Consider the following 11,934-nt stretch of genomic DNA (forward strand, 5'->3'; position numbering starts at 1 on the left):
AGCATGGGCATGGCTATTATTATTAATTTGTGAGTAAGTGGTAGGGAGGAGGTCCAGGGAAGATTGTCTGGAAATAATGACATCTACGCTGCAGATGTATGGAGGAACAGACGTTATCCTGGTGATTGGGATGCAGTGTGGGAGAAGGGTATCCCAGGCAGAGGAGATAACTTGTGTAATGTCAGGGGTGGGTGAGTAAGAGAGGATGGTATGCTCGCAGGACTCCTTCCTGCTCTGACCTTTGCCCTGACACTTCATGTTCCTGGTTCTCCATCGCCTCTCCTGAGCATCATTTTCTCTCCCACTACTCATGCTAAGCACTGTGCAAAGTTCAGTTCCTGGCCCAGTGATATTCTCCTTTTACTACTTTTGAAAAATTTTAAAAATGCCATTACATAAAATATCATCCCTCCCAGGACCCCCGCGGTATGAAACTCCAGCTGAGTGGCAGTTCTTGCCTACAGCATTTACATTTGCACAGCCCAGCTTCAGCTCAACCCTGAGATGCCAAAATGACACCCTTCACCTTTCCTTCCAAATTGTTGTCTAGATTCTGTATTTTAAAAAATATTCTCATCATCAATAAGTGACCTGGTCCTAAAACCTGGAGTGATCTCTGACTTCTCCTGCTACCAAACACCTTGTCAGGAATCAGGGCCAAACAGTGTTATTGTATACATCCTCAATTGTTTATTTTTCTTGAAATTCTAAGCAACCTTCGTCTCTCCCCATTCTGTGAGCATCTCTCTCCAGCTCCAGTGACCAGTGGAGATTCTGTGTCAGGGCTCCAACCCCAGATTTCCCCTTCACATTGCCCTAGTAGAGGTTCTTCATGAGGGATCCAACCCTGCAGCATACTTCTGCCTGAACATCCAGGCATTTCCATACATCTTCTGAAATCTAGGCAGAGCCTCCCAAGCCCAAGCCTCAACTCTTACCCTCAGTGCATCTCCAGGCTTAACACCATGTGGAAGCCACCGAAGCTTGAAGCCACCAAGGCTTGAAGCTTGTACCCTCATGTTAGTCTTAGATTATAGTATCCTGCAGGTAAATACTCAGAACAACTTCCAGCACTTGAATATCCACTCCTTCCCCCACCCACATACTGGCAGAATTCATGTTGGGAGACTACATTTACTATGAACACACACCCCTGATTTGAAACAAGACTAGGATACATGGTAAAGAATGTTTATTCACTAAAGTTTTGACAGACTGAAGGCCATTATTTCAGATTGGAGATAGGAAACTTAAAAGAACTACATGGACATTGGGTAAAAGAACATGGGTTGAAATTTGCCTGGCAGTAGCCCAAAAGTAAATGGTCTTCGAGGTGCATGTGAAGGAACTGTAGGAGGGAAATGGGATAATTCACATCTCCACCAATAATTACATGTAGCCACACTAGCTTGGGGGATTTGAGGTGAGACATCTAAAATACTAAGTCATGGTGAGGGCTGGAAGACAAAAGAATGAATCACTTCATAGGAATGGCTGTGGGGAAGGGCTTGAAGGAATCATCCTCTGACTTCCATGTGAACCATGAACATTAAACATGGAGAAATGAGGAGCGGCGGCAGATCGGTTTGGGATGCATCTTCAGGGGATGCTGAAACAACAACAGCATTTGGTTTCCTCTACATCCCTGTCACCCCTCCCCCACAAGCCCAGGGATTGGTCAGCAGTGGTGCTTCGTGATGTCAAAGCCACCCTAGGACTGCCATTGGCTGGGACACTGCCTGTATGATCAAACAAAGCTCAAGGGTGTGGCTTTGCCTTGTCACCAGGAGGGTATATATAGGGAGGGCAAGAGCTCTGGGACATCCTCCTGGGAAGCTTCAATACAGCTGTGCAAGTCTGGAGTCTACAAGAGCCTACTATAGACATTCTACAACCAACCAGAATCATGGAACAGCCCACTTCAAGCATCAATGGGGAGAAGAGGAAGAGCCCCTGTGAATCCAACAATGAAAATGATGAGGTAAGATTGTTAGGTTTTGAAGGGAAGGTGAGGGTGAAAGAAAGACACACAGAGAAGGGACGGCTCAAACAGCAACACAGGAATATTGCAGACACCTGTGGAAGTGGGAGACCCGCTTAATGCCAGAGCCCACCGCCGCTTACAGCCTGGGGTGCTTGTAGGTAGGGGTGGGAGGGGCCTGGGCAGTATGGCTTGCTGCCCGGCAGGATATTGATAAGATGTTTTTATGATCAGGCTGTTTGGTCCTTTTTCCAGTGGGATGTCATTGTGGTGTTTCTTGGAACTTTGCCCAGCAAGATACCATAGGAAAGTTTCTTTAGTTGGACCTTTGTCCGTCTTGTGTTACGATGATTAGGCAAGATTTTTCTCAGCCTGAACCCCCGTGGAATGTTTCACTTTGATCAAGGTCTGAAAAATAGCAGGGTGCTTACTAAATGGTGGTTTGGACTCACATTCTTGCCTTCTACTTTAGTATAAAAGGAAGAGGGGCATTGTTGATTATCTGGCTGCTTCCTGCCGAATAGGGGAGCTGTAATCAGGGTTTGGGTTTTGAAGCAGTGGGTGTTGGACTTCAGAGTTGTTTTCCTGGAGGCACTGGTACCGGACTTGGCAGAGGAGAAGGATGGTATCAATGTGTTGCTGGGTGGCTGCCTGGACAGGGGAGTTTAGCCTTCGGGAGATAAAGCAGGATATGAAGGTGAGTATACATCGGCCAAATGTACTATCAGGAGGAGGAAGATTAACGGCCCTAAGAAAGGGACCACCTGCTATCCCAGTGCTGAGTGCATCAGAGATGCTTAGTTCTGCTAACACTAGAATGAGATGTACAGCCTGCTTAGTGTGTGTGGAGGAAGATGAGACAGAAGCTACTAAAGGAACCTGGATGGTCTGCTTGTTAGGCAAAATGTTAATGTTTAGATTAACAAAAAAGTTGTAGATTATGGCGGTTAACGAAAGTTGTAGGTTATGGTGGCAAGCCATGAGAAGGTGGGGGTTGAATTCTCCACAAACACTTTGTTTTAACTTTTATATTCCTCCAAGTTCAATAGCTGCCAGCAAGGGTAGCCCCACTGAAGGCCTGATAGGAAATGTTGGTGGTGGAGGAGGTGAAGGCTGCTTGGTTTTGGAGAGAGAGGGGGAAATGGGTTTTTGTAACTAATAGCCACTGTGGTCCTTACAGGGCAGAAGGATACAGGTTGCAGTTGAGGGAATTGTTTGTGCATGTTTTCCAGGGAGCGCCCTTGAGTTGGATACATGAAGAGTGGCTCTAGCCAAGAGGGGAGGCGTTGGTAAGAGGTATTTTATGGAATCAGAGTTGTAACATGTTTAGTTAAGAGGCTATGAGGTGAAGGAGGGTGACAGCCCTGTGTGTGATGGTGTGGGTGGATTTAATGGATTGGGGGGAAAGGTGATTAGCCGAGCAAGATTATAAACAGGATTTGGGAATGAATTGGTTAAGTAGGTGAGATGCAGGTTTATTTTCGACCAGGTTTATGTGGCCAGGTTGACAGGAAGGGATGTGAACTGCTGGATTTGTGTGGACAAACAAGTTTAACAGTTGGAAGTAAAAGGGGAGTGTGACTGATTTAATGGGCAATGTGTGAGGCTGATGAAGGGGGCTCAACTGCTAGAGGTTGGGGGTGGGGACTTAAGAGTATCCCACAGACAAAGAGGACAAAGGAGAAAAAGGAGATTTGAGTAGGAGTGAAATTTTGGAAGGTGCCCTAAAGTCATACCTCCTGCGTTAGTGTGAGAAATTGGCATAGACTATCCAGGGACATAGGGAAGGGAAACCAGGAAAGATCTGAAACAAAGTAGGAGATAAAAGATTGGAAATTGGCGACGGAGAGTGTTATGGGCTAGGGTGTTCTGGATTGGCAAATTCTGGAATTCTTGTTAAGTACAGTGAGGCTGGTCCTGTGAGGGAACGAGAATAATTTGGGGGTGAACAAATTTCTAGATGTGGATCTGGTGCTCTTTTTAGTTTGAAATGGTGCATTCAGTGTGGAAAGGATGTTAGCTTTGGCGCTGTGGGAGTAGTTAGCATCACCTGGTGAGAACCCCTCCACTTAGGTTGGAGAGGGAGGAGGAGGAGTCTGTGATTCAGACCCAGTCCCCTGGTTGTAGGGACAGGGAGGAGTGTTTTGAGGATGGACTTTTAGGCTGGGTCAAGTAAGCATTTGTGTACTGTCTTATTAGATGTTGGGTGAGGTGTAACGCCGGCCAAGTATTCCATATAGAAGGGGGAGAAAATACGGGGATATTTTGGAGGATAAATGGAGCATTTGTACATGAGTTTAAATGGGCTTAGGCTGAGGAGCTTTTGGGAAATGACTCATAAATGCATGAGGAACAATGGGAGAAGTGAAGTCCAGGCCATTTTAACCGTTAGGGAGAGTTTGGTTAGTTGTTTTTTATAAAATTTTTCCTGAAGATTCGGAGTGGTAAGGAATATGGAAAGCCCATTTAATGTTTAGAGCCTTTGCCAGCTGTTGGCTGAACTGTGAAACAAATTGACCCATTGTCTGACTGGATGCAAGAGCGAGTTTAAACCGGTGGATAATATGGGTGAAGAGAATAGACGTGATGGTGTGTGCCTTTTTGGTGGTGGTGGGAAAAACTTTTATTCATCCAGAGAATGTATCTACTATTGTGAGGTATAGGAATCACTTTCTGGGGGGCATGTGAGTGATGTTGATTTGCTAGTCCTGCCCTGGTAAGTGTCCTCAGGCCTCGTGTGTTGGAAAGGAGGTGGTTTGATAGCTTCCTGAGGGGAAGTTTGAGTGCAAAGGGAACATGCCTTAGTAATATCTTTGAGATGGGCAGCCATGGAGGAAGAATATATGTATGTTTTTAAAAGCTGGAGTAGGGGCAGTAACCGGCATGGAAATGGTTGTGCACATATGAAAGTTCAGAAGGTTTTTTAAACTTGGACAAGACACTTTTATCATTGAGGTGGAACCATTTTTTCCTGAATGGCGCCAGTCCGGGCAAGTGGGGTTTGTTCCTGCTGGGTATATACAGGGTGTATGCTGGAAAAAAATGAGCAATAACGATGGGGTTTTAAGGGCTGCCTGCCAGGCTGCCAAATTTATTGAAAGGTTTTTCTCGGTTTTGGCATCTGTAACCTTTCGGTGTCCCTTGCAATGGATAATGGTGGCCTTTAGTGGTAGTTTATCTACCCCCAGCAGCTTATGTATAAGTTTGCCATTTCTTGTGGAGGTTCCTTTTGTAGTTAGGAAACCCTGTTCCTGCCAGATGAAGGCATGAGACTGTAGGACATGGTATGCATATTTGGAATGGGTGTAAATGTTGACCCTCTTTCCCTTTGCTAGGGTGAGGGCCCTGGTTAGGGCAACTAGCTTTGCCTGTTGAGAGGCAGCATGGGGTGGGAGAACATTGGATTCTAGGAGTTTATTTTCAGCAATGATGGAATAGCCAGCTGCTGGACATGGCTCCCTAAAAGAGCTTCCATTAACTAACCGTGTATGTGTTCCCTGCAAAGAGGCATCTGAAATGTGTTGGAAGGGGGAGGAGAGGGAGTCTAAGAGGTCCAGACAGGAGTGAGAGAGCTTAGAGTCGGAAGTGTTTACAGGGAGGAGGGTGGCTGGGTTGAGAGTTTTATATCTCTGGAAGGTGATTAGAGGGTTACCTATGAATAAGGCATGTACCTGCTGTAAGCAGGATGGTGGGAGGCATAGAAGAAATTGATGGTTTATGAGGTCCTGTAGGTAATGGGAAGATGCAATAGTAATGTGTTGGTAAAGAGGGAGTTTCTGTGCCTCTAAGGCCAGTGATGTGGCCACACCCAAGATTTTTAGTCAGAGTGACCAGCATTGGATGACAGAGTCCAGTTGTTTTGAGAGATGTGCAATGGCTTCTGGGGCGTCGCCGTATGTTTGACAGAGTAGTCCAAGGACAAGGCCTTGGTCGGAATGTACATACAAAGTAAAGGGCTTGGTGAGGTTGGGCAGTCCTGGTGCCAGGGCCATTAAAAGGGCATTTTTAAGTTTTTTGTTTGTTTGTTTTGGTTTTGGTTTTTTGTTTTGTTTTGTTTTGTTTTAGTGGGAATTGATGGGGTAAGCTGGGTTTGGGGATTTTAGGATGGGCCCATGTGAGGCCATGTAGAGTGGCTTGGCCAGCAAGTCAAAGTTGGAAATTCATGGCCAAAAGTATCCCACAAGGCCCAAGAAGGAGAGGAGGTCCTTTTTTTGTGTGGGGAAGGGGCATGTCCCAAATTAGCTCCTTTCATTGGGTTGGGATGGCTCGAGAATTAGGGGTTAGGACAAACCCATGTTTGTGCTACCTGAGATTTTGTGGGTTAGGCCCAATCTCCTCGATTATGGAAGCAGTTTAAAACCTGAGTGGTGTGTTGAATGGACAGGTTAAGGAAAGGGCTACAGAGAAGGAGGTCATTGACATATTGGAGGAGGGCACTAGGAAAAAGAGGAAGTTCAGCTAGGTCCTTGATGAGGGCCTGTCTGAATAGATGGGGGCTATCCTGGAACCCCTGTGGGAGTATAATCCATGTTAGTTGGGTGGACATGTGAGTATTAGGATTTGGCCAAGTTAGAACAAAGAGACTTTGGTAAGCTGGGTTTAAGGGAAGAGTGAAATAGGCCTCTTTTAGCTCCAACACAGAGGAGTGTGTGGTAGATGTAGGAGTATGAGAGAGTAGAGTATATGGGTTGCAGACCACCAGATGGATTGGTACCACTGCCTGGTTAACAACTTGGAGATCCTGGAAAAAGGGGTAAGTCTTGTCTGTCTTCTGGAAAGCCAGAATAGGGGTGTTGTGGGGAGAGTTGACGGGCTTGAGAATTTGAGCTTGCAAAAGTTTACAAATAGGATTGAGGCCCCTTAAACCGGCTGGATTAAGTGGATATTGAGACTGATGAAGGAAAATGGAGGGGTTCTGGAGGGTTATTTTAACTGGGATGTGATGTGTGGCTATTGTGGGTTTAGAAACATTCCAAAGTTTAGAATTAACAGAAGGTAACAGGGTGGATAATGAGGATGAGTAGGGGGAGAGGGAAGCGTTTGGGTGTCAGAGTAAAATAAAAGGGGTAGAATTGTAGGAGCCACATTGCATGGAGGTCTGGGATTTACTTAATATGTCCCACCCCAAGATAGGGGTAGGGGACTGAGGGATAACCAGGAAAGAGTGGGTGAAGGGGGCTGTTGAATAGGTTGCATAATAAAGGACGAGTCTGTGCCTAGAGGGGATTCTATTGACTCTCACAATAGAGATTGAAAAACGGAAAAAGGGTCTAGAATATTTGGGTAAAACCGAGTAACTAGTTGTCCTATTGAGCATCCAATAGGAAAGACATGGGCTTACTAGAGACTGACAGAATTACCCTGGCTTCCGAGGTGGTGATGGCAGTACGGGCGGTGGACTCTAGGCCCCGTCTGTCTTCAGGTACGGGTGGTGAAGCAGGATGAAGAGTTTCACTGAGCACAGTCTGACTTCCAGTGTTGCTTGATACCACAGATGGGGCAAGGTTTCCAGAATGTCCTGGGATTAGGGTAGGCTTTTTCCCAGTGTCCGTGTTGGACGCACTTATAACAGGCTCCTGGAGTTGACTGTCGCCAAGTTGAGGAATTCTGTATGCCTTGGGAACCCTGTTGAGTGGCAGCCACCAGCATTTGGTATTTAGCCTGGTCCTTCTTTAGGTTTGAGGTTTTTGGTTCTTCCTCTCTATTCTTAAAGACCTTAAAGGCCACTTTGATTAAGTCTCTTTGGGAGGTTTGAGGGCCATCCTTCATTTTTTAATGTTTTTTTTCAAATGTCTGGGGCTGACTGGGAGATAAAGTGTAAATGGAGGTCGATTTTGCCCTTATTGTTATTAGGGCTTAAGGTGGCATATTTAGTTGTGACCTTTGGAAGGCAGGAGAGGAAAAGATCAGGGGCGATATTATATATGCCAGCTAGAAGGCATGATATGATATGGCCTGGTTTCTGTCTGTCTACAGAAGTTGCCTGACAATTCCAATTGGGGTCAGTTCTGGGGACAGCTAGGGTCCCTATTGGGTTGTGAGTAGCATCTTTTTGTTGGAGGGTGTTCTCATGGGCCTGGGTGCCAATAAAGATGTGTTCCCTGTCCTCCAGGGTGAGGGTAGAGGAGAGGATGACATATACGTCATGCCAGGTAAGGTCATAAGATTTAGGGAAGTACAGAAATTTCTTGCAGAAGGAGGTAGGATCCATTGAAAAGGAGTCAAGTCTCTTTTCAATATGGGAGAAGTCAGCTAGGGAACTTGAATTCAGATTGTGTCTTCAGGCCTCGCAACCTCCTGCAAGGGAAGGACTTTGGAAGGCCTTTGGGCATGTGCCTGGTTTCTAGCGAAAGGGGGTTGGGTGTGAGACCTGGTTTGAGGTGGAGAAGGAAGGGGGATGGAGGGTGACAGTAAGGGGGTGGAGGAGCCGGATCCGAAGGAGAAGGTGGAGGGAATGGGAGTGGGCAGGAGGCAGAGGAAGGGGTTTGTTGTCCAGGTTGAAATTCAGAGGAGGAAGGCTTGTCCGGAGGAGGAGGCATTTTGGGGGGTTTCTCCTTGAGGAGGAAGATTTGAAAAGGTGAACAAGATTGGCAGAGAGGGAGAGTGAGCTGTGAACGAAGATAAGCAAAGCACTTCAGATTATTTACCCTTGTGTTGGAGAAAGTTTTTCAGATGATGTTGAATTTGGAAGTTGAATGTTTTGTTTTTTTGGAAGAGGGGAGTGAATACTCTGGATGGGAGTGACTACCCCTAAGGAAAGTGAGTACCCTGGAAGAGAGTGAATATCCCAGAGCGGAGTGAGTTCTCCAGAGGGAAGTGAATACACCAGAGGAAAGTGAGTACTTGATTCCGCCTGGAAGAAGGGACCTGGAGAGTCGGGGCAGCCCCGTACTATTCATGCTCCCCAGAGGCCGGAGCGGCCAGAGTGGCAAGCATTCTGAGGCTGTCCCCTGAGAAGGGAGGCTGCGGTCACCTGGTGACTGGGGAGACCTCTCACCCAGCACTTGATTGTTTTTTGGAGAACAGGCAGAAATAGAGAGGAATCCAGAAAGGAGGAAGAGGGAGACTCACCCACTAATTGACGCCCAGTGTTGGATATGATGTCCAGAAATGGGGGTGATCCTTGTTGCAGCAGCGCAGAAAGGGGAAGGAAGGGAAAAGAAAAAGGTCGAGAGTTTGATCAATATCTGGAGGTTATCCCAGGTCTGGAGAAGACTAGAGTATAAGGGGAATGGAACTAGGAACAGGGAGATCACAGGATCTGGAAGCAGGCCCCGGTCTAGTTTGTGCTGCTTTTCGCTTTCTGGGTTGCAGCAGAAAACTTACCCATTAGAACCCAATCACCAACCACTCCAGGTTTTGACACCAAAATGTCAGGTTTTGAAGAGAAGGCGAGGATGAAAGAAAGACACACAGAGATGGGGCAGCTCAAACAGCAACACAGGAATATTGCAGAAACTTGTGGAAGTGGGGGAACAGCTTAATGCCAGATCCCACCACTGCTTACAGCCTGGGGTACTTACAGGTATGGGTGGGAGGGATCTGGGCAGTATGGCTTGCTGCCAGGCAGGATATTGATAAGATGTTCTTATGATCAGGTGGTTTGGCCCTTTTTCTGGTGGAATATCATTGTGGTGTTCCTTAGAACTTTGCCAAGCAAGATATGATAGGGATGTTTCTTTAGTTGGGCCTTTGTCCGCCTTGTGGACAGGTGGTTAGGCAGGATGTTTCTCACGGCCTGAACCCCCATGGGATGTTTCACTTTGACCAAGGTCTGCAAAATGGCAAAGAACTTACAAAATGGTGCACTTTGGACTAACAGGTGACCCTACCCATGCTCCTCTTCTTCTTCCCCATAGATCCCTACCCTATGATTCAACCTTGTTCTTCTCTGGCACACACCCCTTCCTCCACCTGCATTCCTTCTCATAAAGCCCCCCTTGCTATCCAGTCTCTATCCTATTCACCCAAAATAATGTCTTTCTGGCCTCTCCCTGTTTTCTTAACAGATGCAGGAGACACCAAACAGGGACTTAGCCCCCGAACCGAGTTTGAAAAAGATGAAAACGTCAGAATATTCAACAGTATTAGCGTTTTGCTACAGGAAAGCTAAGAAAATACATTCAAATCAACTGGAGAATGACCAGTCCTGAGAGAACTCCATCAATCCAGTCCAAGAGGAGGAGGACGAAGGCCTAGACTCAGCTGAAGGATCTTCAAAGCAGGATGAAGACCTAGACTTACCTGAAGGCCTAGACTCAGCTGAAGGATCTTCAAAGCAGGATGAAGACCTAGACTTACCTGAAGGATCTTCAAAGCAGAATGAAGACCTAGGCTTACCTGAAGGATCTTCAAAGCAGGATGAAGACCTAGACTTACCTGAAGGATCTTCACAGGAGGATAAAGACGTAGAATTACCTGAAGGATCTTCACAGGAGGATGAAGACCTAGAGAAAAAGCGATCATCTAGGTCAAGAAATGAAATCGAAATTTCAGAAATTACAGAAATTCTCCAAGGAAGGAGCCAGATAAATAAATATTCTGATTTCATTTTCCTCCTTCTCCAGTGATCTGCAGGGACCTACCATTCACTAAAACTAACCCGAAGCCATAGAACAAGACAGCTTATTAATACAGTCCATGGTTTATATGAGTAGATTTTTAGCAGCACAAAGTAGAGTGGAGAATGGATCTGGTGAAGCAAATGGACGATATATTGAGAACACTGAACTCAGAGAAGCAAAAGCCTCAGGAGAGATCATACTGTCTTTCTTCAACTCTCTGATATGGTGTCATGTGGAATCAGGCCAGACTTACACTTTTTGAGTGCCATACCTATGATTAGTAGGACCACAGTAGGGAACTTAGGGGAAAGTGGCATAAACTCCCTTAGGCAGTTGATGTGGATGAGTTTGTCCTGGAAAAGCTGTTTACAAAATGATCAACTGTAATTTTGCTCTTTTGGAGCTTGGAAAACAGTACCCCAAAATGAAGACCTCAGGAGCAAAAGTCTTTCTCTAATCTTCTCCTACCCTCCTGTCTCTCAGTCTCATTCTCCCCCAAGGCTAGCTATAGAAACTAGAATCCTTCTTCCCCAAGGTGTGTCATAGAAACTAAACCATATTTTCCCCAAAGCCAGCAATAAAACCTAAAAATATGGCCAGGCGCGTTGGCTCACGCCTGTAATCCCAGAACTTTGGGAGGCCGAGGTGGGTGGATCACGAGGTCAGGAGATTGAGACCATCCTGGCTAACGTGGTGAAACCCCGTCTCTACTAAAAATACAAAAAAAAAAAAAAAATTAGCCGGGCGTGGTGGCACGCACCTGTAGTCCCAGCTACTCAGGAGACTGAGGTAGGAGAATGGCGTGAACCCAGGAGGCGGAGCTTGCAGTGAGCCCAGATCACACCAGTGCACTCCAGCCTGGGTGACAGAGCAAGACTCCATCTTAAAAAAAAAAAAAAAAAAAAAAAAAAGCTAAAAATATTACTCTCATTTTCACTCCGCTTTTCCGTGTAAAAACTAGCCATAAAGAAACTGACTGTAGGTCAGAAGGCCCCCATTTCAGAGGGGTCCCTGCCCCACACCCAGAAGGAAGAATGCTGCTCAAAGAAGCCAAGAATAATCTAGACATACAGGCCTTTCTGTGTTTCCCCACTCAGTTCATTAGTATTAGTTTATACCCTTTTTGTCCAATCCTATTTCTGAGCCTCTATCCATACTTCCTTAAACCTAGGCATAAAATGCACAATTTCCCCTGTATCTTTGGGTCTTCATTCTGAAGGCTCCCAAATACACCCCTTAAACAAATCTCTATACCTCTTCTGCTATCAATCTGGCTTTTGTTGGTGATATCTAGTGAGCTCTCAGAGGGCCTTGCCCGCTACAGCTCTTTCCTGTGGGTGTGAATATCTCACCATGCCTGTTACTCTCTACATCAAAATGTCTAACACT

General features: G+C 46.1%; 1 protein-coding gene across 1 annotated transcript; it reads left to right on the forward strand.

The window, feature by feature from the left end:
• On the forward strand, window positions 1,823–10,528 carry SPANXN1 (SPANX family member N1). The gene is made up of 2 exons (NM_001009614.3): window positions 1,823–1,981; window positions 9,991–10,528. The coding sequence occupies exons 1-2, from the start codon at window positions 1,907–1,909 to the stop codon at window positions 10,132–10,134; spliced, it is 219 nt and encodes a 72-aa protein (NP_001009614.1). The 5' UTR covers window positions 1,823–1,906; the 3' UTR covers window positions 10,135–10,528.

This window comes from Homo sapiens, chromosome X (assembly GCF_000001405.40).
Source record: "Homo sapiens chromosome X, GRCh38.p14 Primary Assembly".
NCBI classification, from domain to species: domain Eukaryota; kingdom Metazoa; phylum Chordata; class Mammalia; order Primates; family Hominidae; genus Homo; species Homo sapiens.

Coding starts and splice junctions, on each gene's coding strand:
- SPANXN1 (NM_001009614.3), top strand. CDS start 1,907: ATGGAACAGCCCACTTCAAGCATCAATGGGGAGAAGAGGAAGAGCCCC. Junction 1,982..9,990: donor CCAACAATGAAAATGATGAG/GTAAGATTGTTA, acceptor TTTTCTTAACAG/ATGCAGGAGACACCAAACAG.